A 20610-nucleotide genomic window follows, 5' to 3' on the forward strand; every position below is an offset into this window, starting at 1 on the left:
TGCTGGGATTATAGGCATGAGCCACTGCGCCCGGCCACGCCTGGCTAATTTTTTGTATTTTTAGTAGAGACGGGGTTTCACTGTGTTAGCCAGGATGGTCTTGATCTCCTGACCTCGTGATCCACCCGCCTCGGCCTCCCAAAGTGCTGGGGTTACAGGCGTGAGGGTATTTTATAGGACATTGAATTCCGTGATCATGTGCCTACTGCTGTACCTCCTTTAGCACTAAGTGAGTCCCTTGATCCAAGGTGATGATGGTACTTGCTGTCCCACATCGGAAACCACATGCTCCACAAGCCCTTGGAGAGTAGGTTGGCAGCTGCTGCAGGCAGGAGAGGCAAACCCTTATGTGGAGGACATGCTAATTTTTGCCAGAACAAGTGTTTCTTATTGCAGGATCAAAGGAGTTCTGAAGTATTCAGCTGGCCAGCAGACAGGACAACTGGTTGGTCTCTTGGAGGGGATGATGCCTTATCAGGGCTGCAGAATTGGTATCCTGCTGGCAGGTCTGCCACGGTGAAGGGCTGTAGTGTATTTGCTTGTGCCTAAGTATGTGAACCAGGCTTGGGGTTTTCTTTCTGTCAGCTGTGTATTGGGAACCCTTTCTGAGGCTGTGGGTGTAATTTAAGGGAGAGGCTTCAGAACAGGTCCGCTGGGAAGTGTTTAGGTTTGGGCCACCTGTTCCTGCAGCTGGCACTGTTAGCACAGTCCTGCAGTAAGAACGTGAACATGTACTGTTGTCCATCCCACATGAACATCAGTAGTTCCTGATTGGTTTGAGGAAGAAGTGTTTACCGCATCAGTAGCTACAAACCATGTACCCAAGATTGTTTATCCACTTGAATAAAGATTCCATTTAGCTCAGTTTGTGGCAGTCTACAGTCATCTACCACAATTTATCCACCATAATTTCTATAGGAGCCAGACTGGGCATGAGATGGGGGCCCCTACCCTGTGTCATTTATGTTTTCAAGAGCAGCATTAATCTCTGCTTTTCCCACTGGGAAATGATACTGTTTTTGATTTACTATGGCCAGGGGTCAGGGGCCGGATAAATTTCAGGGGCTTCCAAATGGCCTTTTCTACTTATAGCTCTTATTCTTTAGACAAAGGACCAATGGAAGGATTCTGCAAAGTGCTAAGTATGTCCGTTCCTCTTGTATTACGTCTCTTATATTCAGGGAAGTGGGCAGATGGCCACCAGTGGAGTCTTTACCCAGTGGATGTACTTTCAGGTGGACCTGGCTGGGCTTCATGTATTATCTGACTCCCATATGTTCCTACTCTGCAGAGGACCTTTTTGATAGTTTGGGTCCCTAAGTATGTGCATTGTCTCAGACCCTCTATTTCAAAAACCTCTGAAGACTTGCAGTTCCTATGGTACTTTTACCCAGGTGAATGAAGTCCCTTTGGGAAGAGCTGGGGAAATCACTGTGGTGTGTACTTGCCTTGGTGTTGCAGGTCGACTCCCACGCAGGCTTGGTCTCTCCTTCAGTCAGTGTTTCTGAGTCTGAGAGCTGCTCCAGATCTAGAAACGGAGTCAGGGATTGATACTTTGCATTGTAGAAGCTCACCTTAGCCTTCTGCTTATTCCGTTTTGATTTTCTTGTTTATATATAGTAAGCAGCACCCTTCTTGGCTTCGTATCTGTCCTGCCCATGGAAACTCCAGCATTCTGTGAGCCGTCTCCATAGATCCCTGCATGGATCCCAGGCTCCCCTGGCTACTATTTTGACTTTGCTGCCTATTACCAGCTGACACCTACACCTGCTCTGTGCGAGTCAGTGCTGCTCCCTGGCTTCTGCTAGGGAAGGTCTTATTACCCCCTTGCTCCTGGGGAGCCCAGTTCTGTACACGCACACCTGATGGTTAGCTTCCCCTTCGGAGGCTGGCCAGTACAGAGCTTCCCAGTGATGCCTGTAGACCTTCTGCACACTCATTAGTGCCATGGTTGATGGAATGCCATCATGTTCTCCTGAGGGACATGGGCCACGGGTGGGCTTTCCTGTCATTTTGTATGTCGATTATAGTATGTCTACTTCCCTGAGCCTTTCGATACCTGGATCCACTTTGCCACAGCAGTCCCACAATCTCTGCTTTAATATGAGCCATCACTTTGGCTGAACTTTGAAGAGCCTGCCAGCAGTATCTGAGAATGGCCTCTGGACCCCTTCTCAGGGTGTTAAATGCTGTGTTATAGTACATGCCGTAGTAGAGAAGATCTCTCATTCAGCTTAATATTCTGTCCCCCTGGATCCAGCACCTTGAGGTCCTCTCCCAGGTGCATTCCCCAGCTCTGTCAGAACTCGTTAGACACATCCCGTAGCCGGTGTCAGCCATGGAGGAGGACAGGGCAGATTCTGGGGAGAGCAAGCAGTATCTCATGAGATTCCCATTTCATTTGAGGCCTATGTGTTATATTCAAGCAAGGAGTGTGTGGGGGGCTTCTGTCGTACAACAAAAGGGGATAGGTCACTTCTGTAGGCACAGTGTTAAGAAGAATTTGAGGACTAAGGTTCTCAAAGGCATTTACCCAGCTATCCCCATCCCAAATCTCAGAATCCTGTTCCTTCCCTGTTAGGGCCCAGACCCTGCCACGGGAACTTTATCAATCAAGGCCAATAAAGAGAAGTTATGGGGAGACTGATTTAGGATCAATATTAAAAAAAAAAACACTTATATCTTGTCAGAAGTTGTTTTTAGAAGAATTTTCTGTTTAGAGCCAACTCCCCTACCCCACCCCCTAGACAAGGTGCTTGAGGAGGTGGTGAGCCTGCCAGCGTGGAGCTGTGTGGTTGGCAGTCAGGCAAGGGTGTGTGAGAGGCCACCTGGCCATACCGTCTTCTTTCACTAATCCCAGAACTGATGGAGCTGATGGCTGGCTGGTCAGATGTCCCCTTGCTCTCTCACTGCTTCACCGTGGTCCTCTCTCTTGTAGCTGTGCTCTTGGCTTGCTGGGACAGTGGGTGTGGGCTGGGCATGGCATTGCCATAGGGGCACTGGGTGTTGGCCAGGGGACACCCAGGAGACAGGGTTCCCCAGGGCAGATGGGGAGCCCATTTTGAGAACTGTCCAGGAGGCATACATACCGTATCCTATTCAGATATTAGAACAAGGATTAGAGCTGTACTTTTTCTTTATTGACAAAAGTTGTTTTCCTACTATAAATATTTCACAGTGAAAAAAATCTCAAATGAGTAAAGATTCATCCCTATAGGAAGAAAGTAGAATCGTGAATCCTCTTTAGAGATCTGTGAGCCTGAGTTTTTGAAGCATCATGGCCAGATTTTGGATAACACCAAAGAAAAGCAAGATAATGATGGTGATGTCGTGTCACCCCAGCCACAGGGAGGCCAGGGAGAATTCCTGTACAATTCTGTAAACATAATTCCGGGGTACTTTTGTTTCAGCAAAGCACTTGACATATGACCCCATCTTAGTCAGTATTTTTTATTACCCTTTTGAGAACAGAGAATAATATTTGTGGATGATACAAAACTAGGAGGGATAGCAAATGAAATTGAATAAAGCTAATTAGATGAAATTTTTTATTGTAGTAAAATATACATAAGATTTATTATCGGCCGGGCCCGGTGGCTCATGCCTGTAATCCCAGCACTTTGGGAGGCTAAGGCGGGTGGATCACGAGGTCAGGAGTTCAAGACCAGCCTGGCCAAGATGGTGAAACCCCGTCTCTACTAAAAATACAAAAAAATTAGCTGGGTGTGGTGACGGGTGCCCGTAATCCGAGCTATTTGGGAGGCTGAGGCAGATAACTGCTTGAACCCAGGAGGCAGAGGTTGCAGTGAGCTGAGATCGCACCACTGCACTCCAGCCTAGGTGACAGAGCGAGACTCCATCTCAAAAAAAAGATTTACTGTCTTAATCATTTTGAAGTGTAGAGTTCAATGGCATAAAATCAATTCACATTGTTGTGCAACCATCAGCACTATCCATCTCCAGAGCTTCCCACCAGCCCTTACTGAAACCATGTTCCTGTTGGACAATGCCTCTCCATCTCCCTCCCACAGCCCCTGGCAACCACCGCTTTACTTTTTGTCTCTATGATTTGACTACTCTAGGTATCTTATGTAAGTGGAATCATACAATATTTGTCCTTTTGTGACTGGCTTATTTCGCTTAGCACAGTGCCCTCAAGGTTCTTCCATGTCGTAGCATGTGTCAGCATTTCCATTGCTTTTAAGGCTGAATAATATTTCATTGTATGTGTAGATCACATTTGGTTTATTCATTTATCTGTCAATGAACATTTGAGTTGTTTCTTGCTTTAGTTGATTGTGAATCATGCTGCTATGAACATGGGTGTACAAATGTCTTTTCAAGCCCCTGCTTTTATTTCTTTTGTATATATACCCAGAAGTGGAATTACTGAATCATATGCTAATTCCATGTTTAATTTTTTGAGGAACCACCATATTGCTTTTCACAGGAGTATCATTTTACATTCCCATCAGTAATGCACAGGGTTTCAATATCTCCATATCTTTGCCAACAATTGTAATTTTCCCTTTTTTAAATAGCCATCTAGGCTGGGTGTGGTGGCTCACGCCTGTAATCCTAGCACTTTGGGAGGCTGAGGCAGGAGGATCAATTGAGCTCAGGAGTTCAAGACCAGCCTAGGCAACATAGTGAGACCCCACCCCCGTCACTATTAAAAGAAAAAAGTAGCCATCCTAGTGGGTGTGAAGTGGTATTTCATTACGGTTTTGATTTGCATTTCCCTAATAACTATTGATGTTGAAAATCTTTTCTCATGCTTGGCTTATTGGCCATCTGTGTATCTTTAGAGAAATGTCAAGTCATTTGCCCAGTTTTTAATTGGGTTGTTTGGTTTTTGGTTGTTGAGTTCTAGGACTTCTTTATATATTTTAGATATTAATCCCTTATCAGATATGATTGGAAACATTTTCTCCCATACTGTGGGTTTTTTCACCGTGTTGATTGTATTCTTTGGCGCACAAAAGTGTTTAATTTTGGTGAAGTCCAGATTTGTTTTTCTTTTGTTGCCTGTGCTTTTGGTGTGATAGCCAAGAAATCATTGATAAATCCAATATCATGAAGCTTTTCCTGTGTTTTCTTCTAAGAATTTTATAGTTTTAGGTCTCACATTTATATATTTGACCCATTTTGAGTTAATCTTTGTAAATATTGTTAGGTAAATGGTCTAAACTTCATTCTTTTGCCTGTGGATATCCAGTTTTCCCAGCACCATTTGTTGAAAAGACTGTCTTTTCCCCATTGAATGCTCATCATGGCACCCTTGTTGAAAATAATCTGACCATATACACAAGGGTCTTTCTTGGGCTCTCTTTTTTTCTTTCTTTCTTTTTTTTTTGAGATGGAGTCTCACTCTGTTACCCAGGCTGGAGTGCAGTGGTATGATCTCGACTCACTGCAGCCTCTGCCTCTTGGGTTCAAGCAGCTCCCCTGCCTCAGCCTCCCAAGTAGCTGGGACTACAGGTGTGCGCCGCCACACCCGGCTAAGTTTTGTATTGTTAGTAGAGACGGGGTTTCACCATGTTGGCCAGGATGGTCTTGATATACTGACCTCGTGATCCACCCGCCTCGGCCTCCCAAAGTGCTAGGATTACAGGTGTGAGCCACCGCGCCTGGCCTTGGGCTCTCTTTTCCAATCCATTGGTCAGTGTCTGTCTTTATATCACGCTCTTTCCATGACTGTGGTGGTGTAGTAAGTTTTGAAATCAGGAAGTATGAAAATAGTTGAAATTTATTACTGATAAATGTAAGCAGTATCTACATTTGGTTTATATGAGCAGATAGGAAGAGGATGGAAAGGCCTCAGCTAAGGGCAGGTCTGTGGAAACATTCCAAAATGTTCACTGATGACAGGCTAAGGATGAGCCAGTACTTGGATGTGCTGCTTATTTGTTCTGAAACTGCTCTAATTATCAGAAGGGTCTTACCAGCACTATAGAGATTGGGGAAGCCAATACATACTTTTGCATTCTTCCCTCCCCACTTCCATCCTCACCTTATGAAATATAAAACTTCTTGGAATAACTATACATTTCCTTATGGAGCTGCCCAGCACACGCAATTCTGAAGTTTAGGTTGCCCATCTGACTAAGCCCAAGATGAACTTGTATTTGCCACCGTGCCCTGAGTGTGCTTCAGCCAGTTACTCTTCTGCCTGTTTCCTGCTCCATCCAGTGAGAAGGCTACATTGCATAGCAAGCAGCAGGTAGACTGACTCATGTCACCGTGTTTACGTTGCTTGGATTCGGAAATCTCCAGAGTGACCTCCTTGCTTGGTTCCCAGTCAGAGAGGTCATCTGTCAGCAAAGACAGTTTCCCAACCTTTATACTTTTTGTTTCCTTCTCTTGCATAATTGCATTAGCTGAGACTTCTATATGATGTTAAATCATAGTGATAAGAGGGGACATCTTTGCCTTGTTCCTGATCTTAGGGGGAAGGTATCTAACTTTTTGCCATTAAGTATGATGTTCGCTTTAGGGTGTTTTTTTTTAATACTTTAAGTTTTAGGGTACATGTGCACAACGTGCAGGTTTGTTACATATGTATACATGTGCCATGTTGGTGTGCTGCACCCATTAACTCATCATTTAGCATTAGGTATATCTTCTAATGCTATCCCTCCCCCCTCCCCCCACCCCACAACAGTCCCCGGTGTGTGATGTTCCCTTTCCTGTGTCCATGTGTTGTCATTGTTCAATTCCCACCTATGAGTGAGAACATGCGGTGTTTGTTTTTTTGTCCTTGCGATAGTTTGTTGAGAATGATGGTTTCCAGTTTCATAAATAGATGTTTTTAATTAGTTCAGGAAGTCTCTATTCCTGGTTTGCTGAGAGCTTTTGTCATGAATGGGTGTTAGATTTGTCAAATGCTTTTTCTACATCTATTGCTACAATCATATGATTTTTCTTTAGCCAGTTGATGTGATGGATTACAACGATATATTTTTTTTTGAGACAGAGTTTTTGTTCTGTCACCTAGGCTGGAAAGCAGTGGCACGATCTTGCCTCAGCCTCCTGAGTAGCTGGGATTACAGGCACCTGCCACCACGCCCAGCTAATTTTTTTTTTTTTTTTGTATTTTTAGTGTAAACGGGGTTTTGCCATGTTGGCCAGGCTGGTCTCAAACTCCTGACCTCAGGTGATCCACCTACCTTGGCCTCTCAAAGTGCTGGGATTACAGGTGTGAGCTACCATGACCAGCCTAATTTTCTTATTTTTAGTAGAGATGGGGTTTCACCATGTTGGCCACACTAGTCTTGAACTCCTGACCTCAGGTGATCCACCCATCTTGGCTTCTCTAAATGCTGGGATTATAGGCATGAGTCACTGCCCCCGCTACGATTGATATTTGAACATTGAATTAGCCTTGCACACCTGGGATAAATCCTGCCTGGTCGTGGTGTATAATTATTAATACATTATTGGATTCAATTTGCTGATTTTTTGTTTAAAAGTTTTGGCCAGGCATGGTGGCTCATGCCTGTAATCCCAGCACTTTGGGAGGCCAAGGCAGGAGGATCACTTGAGCCTAGGAGTTTGAGACTAGCCTAGGCAATGTGGCGAAACCCTGTCTGTTAAAAAAAAAAAAAAGAAAGAAAGAAAGAAAAAACAAAAAATACAGGCTGGGTGCGGTGGCTCATGCCTGTATTCCCAGCACTTTTGAAGGCCGAGGCGGGCGGATTGATTGAGCTCAGGAGTTCGAGACCAGCCTGGGCAACATGGCAAAACCCCGTCTGTCTCTACAAAAAATACAAAAATTAGCTGGGCCTGGTGGCATGTGCGTGTAGTCTCATCTACTAGTGGGAGGATCGCTTCAGCCTGGGAGGTTGAGGCTGCAGTGAGCTGTGATTGTGCCACTGCACTCCAGCCTGGGCAACAGAGCAAGACCCTGTCTCAAAAATGTGTATGTGTGTATATATATATATTTATTTTAGTGGTTGCCTTAGGGTTTGCAATATACATTCACAACTAATCAAAATCCACTTTCAAATAATGCTGTGCTGCTTCACAGGTAGTGCAAATACCTTGTAACCAAGTATTCCCAGTTCACTCCTCCCACTGCTTATAACATTGCTGTCATTTATTTCATTTATCCTTAGGCTACAGTCACCCAATACACAAATTTTATTTTGAACAAATTGTTAATGTGTTAGAGCAATTAAAATAAGAAAAATAAAAGATTAATTTTACCTACATTTATTTCTTCTCTGATGCTTTTCCCCTTCTTTACATAGATCAGAGTTTCTGACCAAATCATTTTCATTCTCTCTGAAGAAGTTCTTTTAACTTTTCTTGAAATGTTAAATCCCTGAGTTTTTGTTTTTCTGATAAAAATCTTTATTTCTCTTTCACTTTTGAAGGATAATTTCACTGGATACAGAATCAAATAGTTCCCTCCTCTCTCTTCTTGCTTGGATGGTTCCTGAAGAGAAATCCAGTGTCATTCTTGTTCTTGCCATTTTATAGGTAGGATGTTTTTTTCCTGTGGAAAAAATTCCCAGATTTCTGCAAAGAGAGAATCTTCCTTTCTAATTTTCTTTTTGTCTTTGATTTCTGCAGTTTGATGTGATTTGCCTCAGTGTAAATTACCTGCTTTTTACCGTTTCATGTTCTCTGACCTTATTGGATCTGTGGATGGGTGTCTGACATTAGTTTGGGGAACTTCTCAGCTCTCATTACTCCAAATAGTTATTGTGTTCTTTTCTTTCTCTTGATATCCTCATTGCACATATGTTACACTTTTTGTAACTGTCCCACAGTTCTTGCATATTCTGTTTTCTTTCTTTCGTTCTTTTTTCCCTTTGCTTTTCATGTTTGGAAGTTTCTGTTGACGTATTCTTAAGCTCAGAGAGTCTCTCCTTGGCTGTGTCCAGCCTCTTGAGCTTGTTGAAGGCAGTCCCCATTGCTGTTACAGGACTTTTGCTTTCTGGCATTTCCTACTGATTGTTGCTTAGGGTTTCCATCTCTGCTTATGCTGCCTATCTGTTCTTACATGATGTCTACTTTTTCCGTTAGAGCCATTACCATATTAATCGTAGTTGTTTTAAATTCCCAATCTGGTAGTTCCAAAATCTCCACTATGTCTGAGTCTGGTTCTGATATGAGGAACTTAGGCGTCAGGTTAATAGGCCTTAGTGTGAGGTACGTTTGGCTGGCTGGGAGTTGGGCTGTGTTTACTGTTTGCTGCCCTTGTGATGCTGGGGGATAAAAATCTCCTGTGTATCCTTGTTTTTGTCTTCCATTGTTTTTGGGTTTTCTTCAAGATTCCTTCTTAAATAGAGTCTGAGGCCTGCAGTTCTTATAGGTGTGCATCCCTGTTATTACACAGGGGTCCTGTTGATGTGGCTTTCAGGGGAGAGGAAGTGTTCTGTAGTCCTGGGATTAGGTCTCAGTGTTTTAGTGAACCTGTGTCCCTGGGCCGTGGCCTTCACATGTGCTTCTCAGTTTTGTTTTTTTCCTCCCCCTTAGGAGAGACATAAACGATAGAGGAGGCAGGAATTGGGTGTTTCCTTACCCCTAGGTGGTTAGGCTCTGGTAAAATAGTTTTCCTTGAGGAAAGCCCTTTGTTAAGGATAACAGAATGCTCTGGTCATGCCTTTTTCTTTCTTTCTTTCTTTTTTTTTTTTTTTTTTTGAGATGACCTCTGAGCCCTTTATATGTTGGTTGGGAAACTGGAGTGCAGTGGCACCATCATGACTCACTGCAGCCTCAACCTCCTGGGCTCAAATGATCCTCCCATCTCAGCCTCCTGAGTAGCTGGCACCACAGGCACACTGCCGTGCCCAACTATTTTGTTGTTGTTGTTGCTGTTGTTGTTCTTGTTGTAGAGATAGGGTCTCACCATGTTTCCCAGGCTGGTCTCAAACTCCTGGCCTCAAGCAAACCTGCCGCCTTGGCCATCCAAAGTCCTGGGATTATGGGCATGAGCCACCACACCTGGCCTGGTTATACTTTTAAATGATGTATTCTTCCCTCCTCCTACCAGAGTATGAGGAGATGTTTCTCCAGTCTCACCCTGAGAGCCTGGTGGGGCTCATGGAGGTAAAACTCAGACTGGTATGGGGACCTCCCCAGTGACTATTCCCCTGGAGTTTTTGTCTCCTACTGGTCCATGCTCAGTCTCTGCCATTTGTCAGTTCCCCTTTCCTCTCTGCTGGTGCTGGCTCTAGGGTTTCTGCCCCGCAATGAGCTGTGATTCTTAGCATTGCATATCTGTCTCTCCATCTTTGGGGTTATTGTTTTTTCATGTGACCTCAATTATCTGATGGATCTGAGAACAGTCATTGATTTTAAGTTTGCCAGCTTTCTTGTTGTGAGGATGGGAGTGATGACTTCTGAGCCTTTACAAGCTGGACAGGAAATTGGAAAGTCCCATTTCATTCTTTTTTAATAGAGAACTTAACTGTGTGAGGTAATGAACAACTGAGAAATGTTGAGTGCAAGAAGCCTGTTCTTGGGAAGAATCAGCAACCCATTTTAAAAAACAGAAACATTGAAAATGTTATGGTGGTTGGTAAGATGCAGGCAGGAGCACAGCAGGTACAGTGCTGCTGCCCACAGCCTTCTACACCTGAGGCCCTGCATTATGGAGGTTTGCTAAGCCAAGTGCCTCATGGCCATGTGTGACCAAAAAAACCTTTTTACTAAATGTTTTGTGCTGCTATAACAGATACCACAGACTGGGAAATTTATAATGAATAGATATTTCTAGGCTGTGCATGGTGCCTCACACCTGTAATCCCAGCACTTTGGGAAGCTGCGGTGAGCAGATTGCTTAAGTCCAAGAGTTCGAGACCAGCCTGGGCTACATGGCAAAACCCTGTCTCTACAAAAATTAGCCAGGCGTGGTGACACACACCTGTAGTACCAGCTACTCAGGAGGCTAAGGTGGGACAATTGCTTTGAGCCTGGGAGGCAGAGGTTGCAGTGAGCCAAGATCACGCCTCTGCACCCCAGCCTGTGTGATAGAGTGAGACCCTGTCTCAAAAAAAAAAAAAAAATCGTATCGTTCTGGAGGCTAGGAGGTTTAAGGTTGAAGGGCACAGCTGGTGAGGGGCTGCATCTGCATCTTATGTTATCCCAGGGCGAAAGGTGGAAGGGCAGGAGAGGGAAGGGGGTCAAATTCATCCTTTCATCAGGAACCTGCTCCTGAGATAACAAACCCTCTCCCAGGATAACAGCATTAATGTGCTCACAAGGGCAGAGCTCTCGTGGCCTAATCAGCTCTTTTCTTTCTTTTTTTTTTTTGAGATGGAGTTTTGCTCTTGTTGCCCAGGCTGGAGTATAATGGCGCAGTCTTGGCTCACCACAACCTCCGCCTCCCGGGTTCAAGCAATTATCCTGCCTCAGCCTCCTGAGTAGCTGAGATTACAGGCATGCACCACCACGTCCAGCTAATTTTGTATTTTTAGTAGAGACGGGGTTTCTCCATGTTGGTCAGGCTGGTTTCGAACTCCCAACCTCAGGTGATCTGCCCACCTTAGCCTCCCAAAGTGCTGGGATTACAGGCGTGAGCCACCGCACCTGGCCTAATCACCTCTTAAAGGCCCCACCCTTAACACTGTTGCATGTGGGGACTAAGTTTCCAGCACATGCTTTTTGGGGGACACATTGAAACCATAGCACTTCATTTCTCTATTTATGCTCATTTCTCAGCTATGTTGACCTTTGCAATTGAGGAAGTTTATTTTTTAGTGAAGTTGTGCATGATGCCATTGTTTTCAGTTTCCCCAGCAGTGACGAGAAAACCCTGACCATCCCTGTTTTAGAATACAGATTCTACCAAAACTAGTAGTTTTGGTACTAGTAGTTTGGGATACTCATTGCAGGACTTTTGATGATGACCTTCACTGTAGAATAGTAGGAGATGGGGCAGCACTGTCCTCAGCCAGTAGAGATTTCTGTAAGAACCCAGGACTCTCTTCCTAGAGTTGGGCCTCCACGCGAGCCGGAATGGAGACCCATGGGCCTGGTGGCCTGAGTATGAAGCACTTGGTTTGTGCTCTCGGTGGTAGTGATGGTGGTGTTGGCTCAGCTCCCATTTCTCATGGCATTTTTTTCTTCACTTTCTTTCAGTATTTAGGTCAGTTAACGTCCATACCAGGATACCTGAATCCCTCCAGTAGGACTGAAATCCTGCATTTCATAGACAATGCAAAGGTAACCCTATCCTCTTAACCCTGTGCACTAGCCCTCAGCCCCCACCAGCCCTTGGTCCCTGTACTCTTGGCCTCGTGGCTGTGAGGAATGAGCCAGTCCCATCACATTATGGGTACACTTGGCTCTTGGCCATAAAGACTATTCCTTAGTATGGACATTAAGTTGATTCTCGACACTTGCTCCATGTGATTTTGGGCTGTTTCCAAAATTTACACTTTCAAGATATTTCAAACCATGTGCCGTAAGTCTGAATCTGAAGGCAGTTCCAGAAGAATCTCCCAAATGGTTTGAACACATTGGTGTCCCTGGAATAAGCACTGTTCTGAGGGGAATAACACTGACCTTATTCACTCAGCATTTGTCACATGTGTGACATCGGCCAGCACAATATTCTCAGGAGAAGCGCCCCATGCCGGTTGACAGCTGAGTCTGTATTTCTGATGCCCTGTGGTTCCTTCCAGAGAGCCCACCAGCTTCCGGGACACTTGACTCAGGAGCACGATGCTGTGCTCAGCCTGTCTGCGTACAACGTCAAGCTGGCCTGGAGGGACGGGGAGGATATCATCCTCAGGGTGCCCATCCATGACATCGCCGCCGTCTCCTATGTTCGGGATGACGCTGCACACCTGGTGGTCCTGAAGACAGGTACAGGAGGTCAGGGGTCAGGAGGGTCCTTGTCCTAAGGAGTACATGTGTGAATTTTATGAAGTTCTGGAGACAGTTTTTGCAGCTTCGTGTTGGGTGCTGCTGTTTGTCACGACCAATAATTGTCTTTCCTGTCTCTGAGATCAGCCAGAAGAGGGCTTGAGATCAGTTACCAGACACTGGGGGTGACTGTCACACTAAGAGCCTTTGGGGACTCAATAATACTGGGATACAGTATTTAGGACTGGTATCCTGTTCCTCTGCCCGGTGGGGCTCCTATTGACTCCCTCTGGGTACAGTGGAGTTGCCCCTCTGCCCAGGTGTGGTGGAGCCTAGAGAGAGTGCAGTGGATAGGGACCTCACCTCAGCTTGACTGATATTTTGAGCTCTGCACAGTGTCCTCAAACCTGGGACAGAAAAGATGAGACCCAGACCTCCCAGGAGCTCTTGGTCATAGAGGTTACTCTCTGTGTGTCCTTGCCGTCTGCTGCTTTCACAATGGGATAGAATTGGGCAGAATTGGGCAGAATTGGGCAGAATGTTATTTTTGGCTGTGGTGAGTACAGTGCTGCCTCACTGGACCCAAGCCCAAGCTGCCCGTTAATTTCCAGCAGCTTCCAGCCCAGGCATTCAGGCCACTGAGGATGAGGGGAGAGACCATGGTTCGCCCTACCTGTATTTTGCCCCTCCCAGTCCTGAGTTTCGAGGCTGGTGTTGCAGTGGGGACAGTATCCTGGGCTCCTTGGATCTCTGCTGGTGACTGGGTTGATCCCAAAGCCTTTCATTTCCAGAGGGCCAGTGGCAGGGTGTGAAGGGGTCACAGTGGGTCTGCCTAGACCACACACTGTGTTTTAGGTAGCAGAGAGGGGAATTTGTTGTTCCACTTAAGGTCAGTAGTTCATTGAGAATCTGGCGAGTGTGTTCATTATTGACCCCTTGAGCCATGAAGCTGCCAGCTTGAGTGCGCTCTTGAGAGCAGTCCACTGAAAGCCTGTGAGTCTAGATGCTTGGGGTTGCTGTGGTCATAAACTACACAGGGAACACTGGCGGGGTTTATGAAGGTGGCTGTTGCTCTGTTTTGTTCTCTGTGTAGCAGTAGCTTAGACTTGCGTACACCCTCCCCAACGCAGGCACACACCACACCTACACACATGTACATTACTCACCCTATCTGGCTTAGAAGGCTGGGTTGGTGGCTCCTTCCAGCCATACTATCCGACACCATGGTGACCCTCCTGTTTTTCTACCTTTGGACCCTGCGGGAGGCCTTAGGCCTGGGACATCCTTAGGGACAAGGAGTGAGGAGACTGGTTTCTGACTCGCTTCTTGCAGGTGTTTCAAGCTGGTAGGGAGGGGAGATAGGCTCCTCCCTTTATTTCTTCTGCTGCATGACAGTTTCTCAGCTTTAATTATTAGAACACATTGCTAAAGGAAATGGATGACAGATTTTTTTTAATGGAGAGAGAATGAGCGCCATAGGAGAAACTTTCCAAAATTAGATGAAAAACAGGACTTCTGGTCTTTGAGAGAACTTTTGATTTAAAGGAAGAGAGTGAATCCCTGTGTCCTGGGGGCCATCTTCCTTGTTTTTGTGGATGCACCGGAGCAGTTGTGTGTCCCCTGTGTTACATAAGGTGTGCTGTGTTTATTTTTTAATTTTTAAAATATTTTAAAAATTTTTGTAAGGATGAAGTCTCTCTATGTTGCCCACGCTGGTCTTGAACTCCTGGCCTCAAGCGATCCTCCTGCCTTAGCCTCCCAAAGTGTTGGGACTATGGGCATGAGCCACTGCACTGGGCCGCCATGCTGTATTTAGGATTAGGCATCCAGAGTTCTCAGCATAAGAGACTAGCAGGTGAATAGCTAACGTTTACTTGGTGCCTGCTATGTGCAAGCAAGTCTCTGTGCCTCTTTGGACCAAAAGTACGCTGGTATTTGGGATAGCACAGGAGTGGGGAAGTTGGGGGCCAGGTCTAGCTGCAATAGGGTCCATGTGGCAGGAGCTGCTTGGAGGGTGATGACTTGAGTTGGTGCCAGATGGGGCAGGGTCACCCGTGCACCCGTGGTAGCACTTCCTGGATGATATAGGAGAGGCACACAACTCGCTGCCCGCATCCTTAGGCTGCCCACCCTGCTTCCTTGAGAACTACCACAGGCACACACCAGGGAGCCAACATTTAAAAATGTTTAAAAGGTAGAGATTTCTTACCAAACTCATACCAAAAAAAGAAAAAAAGTAAAGGGAAACCAGTAAATTTTTTTTTTTTTTTTTGAGACGGAGTCTCGCTGTGTTGCCCAGGCTGGAGTGTAGTGCCGTGATCTCAGCTCACTGCAAGCTCTGCCTCCCAGGTTCACGCCATTCTCCTGCCTCAGCCTCCTGAGTAGCTGGGACTACAGGCTCCTGCCACCACGCCTGGCTAATTTTTTGTATTTTTAGTAGAGATAGTATTTCACCGTGTTAGCCAGGATGATCTTGATCTCCTGACCTTGTGATCCGCCACCTTGGCCTCCCAAAGTGCTGGGATTACAGGCATGAGCCACTGTGCCCGCCTTTTTTTTTTTTTGAGACAAGTTTGGTGCTTGTTGCCCAGGCTAGAGTGCAATGGTGTGGTCTTGGTTCACTGCAATCTCCGCCCCCCGAGTAGCTGGGATTACAGGCATGAGCCACCACGCCCAGCTAATTTTTTTGTATTTTTAGTAGAGATGGGGTTTCACCATGTTGGCCAGGCTGGTCTTGAACTCCTGACCTCAGGTGATCCACCCGCCTTGGCCTCCCAATGTGCTGGGATTACAGCCATGAGCCACTGCGCCTGGCCAATTATTTTCAATAATATATTTTATTTACCCCTCCGTACCCAAAACATTATTACATCAGTATATAATCAATATAAAAATCGTTGAGCTACATAGCATTCTTTCTTTGCCTACCTCTGAAACCCTGTGTATAGTTTGCACTCACACATTTCAATGTGGGCTCATCACATTTTGCATACTCAGTAGTCCTGTGGCCAGTGGCTGCCATAGGGACAGAGCAGCCCCAGGAGTCTCACTGTGGGGTTTGAGGTACAGTTTCTTATGGAGCCCTTGTCTCTGTGCATGCGCTAACTTTGCATGTGGCCTGGGACGGCCTTCTTCTCCCTCCTGAGGCTGGCCTGCCCTCTGACACCCTGGCACTAGTGGCACTTCTAGGTTTTGTTTTCAGTCTTGAAGTCCTCCCAGGGTGGTCCGAACTGATGGTGAGAGCCCTGCTTCCTGGGGATTGGCCTCACTTCTGCCATCAGGAAAACCACTGAGTTACTCCATGTATTTCAGGAGAACCTCATTTGTCTAGGGAGGCAATGGGTAGGATGTTAGAAACAAGGGCACTGGGGTCTGACCGTCTAGATTGCCATGTGGACAGTGCAACTCACACGCCCTCAGGCCAGGCCTTTCACTTTCCCATGCCTCAGTTTACCCATCTGTAAGAAGGGAACTCCCCAGAACACATGGAAACCTCCTGGAGGTGACTGTTCTCAGGGTTGTATATGTGGTCTGTTGTATATGAACTTGAAGCGTGTGAAACTGCAGGATGACATGCAGCTCTGGTGCCCTTGGAGCTCAGGGGTCGCGTGTTCCCACCCTTATTTAGAGAAGCGAAGTGTGTCTGGTGCAGGCCCTTCACCTGAGTCGTTCTGTGGGTGCCTGAGCCAGGTAAAGGTCCTCTCAGCCTGTTTCCATGGCGGCCTCAGCTGTTTCCTCAAGTGCCCCCATGCCTGCCCTTCCACTGTGCTAAACTGAGATGGTGTTGACTTCTCAGCCCAGGACCCAGGGATCTCCCCCAGCCAGAGTCTGTGTGCGGAAAGTTCCAGAGGCCTCAGTGCAGGCTCCCTGTCGGAGAGTGCAGTTGGGCCCGTGGAGGCATGCTGCCTGGTCATCCTGGCTGCAGAGAGCAAGGTGAGACTTTCTCGCCCCACTTACTCAGAACTGGCTCCTCCCAGACCCTGCTCATGGCCAGCCCCACCCTGGCCACACCCAGCACAGTGCTGGGCACTGCTGGGTGCCCCAGCTACTTCCTCTGCCATTGCCTGTCCCTGCCTCACCCTAGTCTCCACCCAGCCCCACCTCTCTCTGCTCAACCCTGCCCCAGGCATTGCCCCCATCCTGGCCCTGCCCACAGCTCCTCTGCGCATGACTGCATCCCAGGTCCTGCCCCAGGCCCAGGCTCCCCACCGGTTCCCACCCCTGTGCCTTCTGACCCTCCTACCTCCAACCCCCAGCAACTTCTCTGAGACCACCTGGCCACTGAGCTTTTTGCTTATCATTCTTCAAGGTGCCCCCACGCTGATGGGCGGGCAGCGGCGGTCACCTGTGCATCCTAGACCTGCCTGGTGTTAAGGACTGTGCTTGCAGATTCCTCACAACCTGGAAGAGCCAAGGGCTGGGCCCTTGTAGGCTAGGATTTGGGGCCCCCTCAGCCACCCAATAGCTGTGGGGCCTTGGCAGTCACTTAACACCTTTGTTTAATTTCCATATCTGTAAAATGGATGCTAGTGACCACCCACCTTAAATATCCTCTAATGAGCATTTCTCAGTGTTGGTGCTACTGTCATTTTTAGCCGGATAATTTTCCATTGTGGGAGGCTGCCCTGTGCACTGTAGGGTGTTGAGCAGCATCCCAGCTTCTCCCCTTGTGACAGCTGAAAATGTCTCCAGATATTGCTACATGTCCCCTGGGAGGGGTACAAAAATTGCCCCAGTTGAGAGCCTCTGCTTTAGACAGCACACTGTTATAAAACTGTTTTATAGCTGTTAGAAATGCCTCCAGGTGGGCTGTGATACTGATGGTATCTCCTCTCACCTCTTTCCTGGGCTGGGATAGGGTTGTGAGGGTGTTGATAGGTCAGGTTAATGGAAAGAAGACGTTGGACTGGCAGCTAACACTTGTGCCCTGCACAGTCCCCTCACACTTGCAATACCACCCCTGGGCCACATGGCAGTCCTAGATAGAGTCCTGGGGCAGTTGGCTGGGTCTCTCTTTTGACACCCCTTTGGGTCAGTGAAAGGCAGAGGGACACATTCTGGTATCCACTCTTCATTCATGTTTATTGAGCATCTGGGCTGCCCCAGGTATCCTGGAAGCCGCCTGGGAAGGCGCAGTCTCCAGCCAGACTGACCGAGCAGCTGCTGTCCCCCACTGCAGGTCGCTGCGGAGGAGCTTTGCTGTCTGCTAGGCCAGGTCTTCCAGGTTGTTTACACGGAGTCCACCATCGACTTTCTGGACAGAGCGATATTTGATGGGGCCTCTACCCCGACCCACCACCTGTCCCTGCACAGCGGTATGTTGAGTGAGAGTGGGCAGCGGGTGGGAGCAGGGACAGGAGGGGCTACTGCAGTGGCCCCCAGCTCCCCATGAGTTACTCCTGGAATAGCGCAGTTACTGCCGTGACATGGTGGCCTTTTGTTTCCAGACTTTGCTGTTCACATTAGCCCATAGGGTTTCATGAAGGCAGAAGTGTCACCTGTCCTTGAGAGAGTTGCACCAGGTCAGCGCTATGGCTTCCTGGAATAAATTTGGGGTCTGTGAACACTTTTTTGGAACCACTTGTGGCTAAAGTCACTTCACTTAACTCGGAACAAAGAGCTTGGAGAAGGCTCCTAGCACTGGGGCCTGTGATGGAATTGGGGAGGCTGAGAGTGGGTCTGGGGAGCCTCCTTTTCAGTATGCCCAGACTATGGCTGCTCTTAATGTGAAACTCCTTCCAGGACCATGGCCAGACCCATGGGAAGCTGCTCAGGCTGCCCTGGGAGGCCAGCTGGCAGTGGTGGAGCAGTGGCAGATGGGGAAGAATGGAAGGTACCCCAGAGCTGTCTCTTCCTGCATGGCCCACACAGCATTTTCAGGAGTCTGTTAGTCCATTGAAAACACTTCATCAGCAAGCTCACTTGAGTTAAGTCTTCAAAAACATCATCTGTTTTTCAGATGTATTACTTATTGAGGATTAATGGGTTATATAAATTGAGGTGCATAAAAAGCTGTTGGAGGCTGGGTGTGGTGGCTCATGCCTGTAATCCCAGCACTTTGGGAGGCTGAGGCGGGCGGATCACCTGAGGTCGGGAGTTCAAGACCAGCCTGACCAACATGGAGAAACCCTGTCTCTACTAAAAAATACCAAGAAAAAAAAAAAGGCTGTTGGAAACAGTGCGGCTTGTTGAGTACAATTTCTTCTTTTTACGGAGATAAGTCCCAGCCCTCTGCCCTTTCCCCAGTAACTCGCACATCTCAGTGAAGAGAGTAAATGGTGGAGAAGCCTGTGCTGGTGTGAGGGCTGCTCCTCAGTGCCTCCTTCTTCCCTTTCTTGCTGCTGGTGCCAGAGCCCTTTGTGGGCACTACACGCCTTGTGTTGGCCCAGCAGCTGCAGAGAGACAGCTGCTGAGCTCTCAGGCATCCTCTCTATCTCATTTAGTCCTCGGTGGCCCAGCGAGATAGGTGCAATCTTCATCCCCATTTTAGAGATGGGGAAGTGGAGGCTTAGAAGTCAACAGCTTATCCAGAGGAATGTACCATATGAGTAGCAGATGATTTATCGAGCTGTAATTAAACATTCAGTTTTAGTGCGACTGGTTTGGCCCTTGTGCTTTAAAATTCCCAAAGGGCCTTTTTTTCTTTAATAATTTTTTTTTTACTGAGAAGTACACAAGTCATACATGTACAGTTGAATGAATTTTCATAAAGTAAACACATCATGTAACACCACTACTGGGGGTTGCTGAAGTGGGCTTCTTCCCCTGCCAGCCTTTCCCAAGACCTCCCCGTGGGATCCACACACAGATGTGCACACGTTACGCACATGCATGCATTCTCTGCTTATTTCTGCCTTGGAGTTTTGCTTGCTGTGTTCTCTCTACTACAGCTATGCCAAAACATAGCAGCATAAACAGCAGAAATATATTCTCTTATAATTCTATACGTTAAGAGTCCATTGTGGGTCCCACTGGGCTAAAGTTGAGGTGTCCACAGGGCTGGTTCCTTCTGGAGGCTCCAGAGAAGAAGCCATTTCCTTGTCTTTCCAGCTCCTAAAGGCGGCTGCATGCCTTGGCTCATGGCCCTTCCTCTGTCTTCACAGCCAGCCACGTGACCTCTTCCACAGTCACATCTTCCTTTGACTGTCAGCTTCCTCTGCATTTCAGGACTCTTGCAATCACATTGAGCCCACCCAAATTCTCCAGGGTCATCTCCCTATTTCAAGGTCAGCTGATAAGCATCCTTTACTCCCCTTTGAAATTGGTAACATATTCACCAATTCCAGGGATTAGGATGTGGACGTCTTTGGGGGGTCATTATTCTGCCCTCCATACTTACCTTGTTCCTAGTGCCAGAAATGTCCCTTTTATCTCTCAGCCTCTCCCTCTGCTTCATTTAAAATCTTACCCTCTCTGCAACACTCACCTGCCTCGCTCACAAAGCTTTCACTCACTGTCTGTGCTGGTGTGAAATGTGCCTTCCTCAGGTTTGAAATAGCAAATTACAGTCTGTGTCACACGGACCTAATGTCATTTGTTGAATGTAGCTGCTCAGTGCCAGACCCTTTGCTGGTCTGAGGGTCTTGGGAATCCTGTGGCTTCACTGGGTTCAGATGGGGAGTCAGACTGCCCGGCTCTGACTGTGGTTTCTGCTGTGTGACCTGGGCCAAGTTGTGTAACTCTCTGACTTACTTCCTAATCTACAAGTGAAGACAGGGGTGATATATGCCTGGGTTAAAGGAGACAAAGCCCCAGTAACCCTGCCTGGCACATGAGTGATACCTCAAA

General features: G+C 47.1%; 1 protein-coding gene across 15 annotated transcripts in view; it reads left to right on the plus strand.

Annotated features, from left to right (window-relative positions):
• CCM2 (CCM2 scaffold protein) overlaps positions 1-20610 on the plus strand; it is a 76725-nt gene that overhangs the window by 52079 nt on the left and 4036 nt on the right. For 6 of the 15 annotated variants that reach the window (NR_030770.2, NM_031443.4, NM_001167934.2 and 3 more), the window contains 4 exons: positions 12094-12177; positions 12639-12822; positions 16619-16755; positions 18002-18137. Coding sequence is in view for 14 of the 15 variants with exons in the window: in NM_031443.4 (NP_113631.1) it covers positions 12094-12177; positions 12639-12822; positions 16619-16755; positions 18002-18137 (541 nt within the window). In the remaining variant the exon portion in view is untranslated. Of the gene's footprint in view, positions 1-12093; positions 12178-12638; positions 12823-16618; positions 16756-18001; positions 18138-18564; positions 20049-20610 lie in introns of those variants that run through there. The other 9 variants (NM_001363458.2, NM_001363459.2, XM_011515561.3 and 6 more) reach the window with 4 other exon arrangements.

Source organism: Homo sapiens, chromosome 7, assembly GCF_000001405.40.
Source record: "Homo sapiens chromosome 7, GRCh38.p14 Primary Assembly".
NCBI lineage: Eukaryota > Metazoa > Chordata > Mammalia > Primates > Hominidae > Homo > Homo sapiens.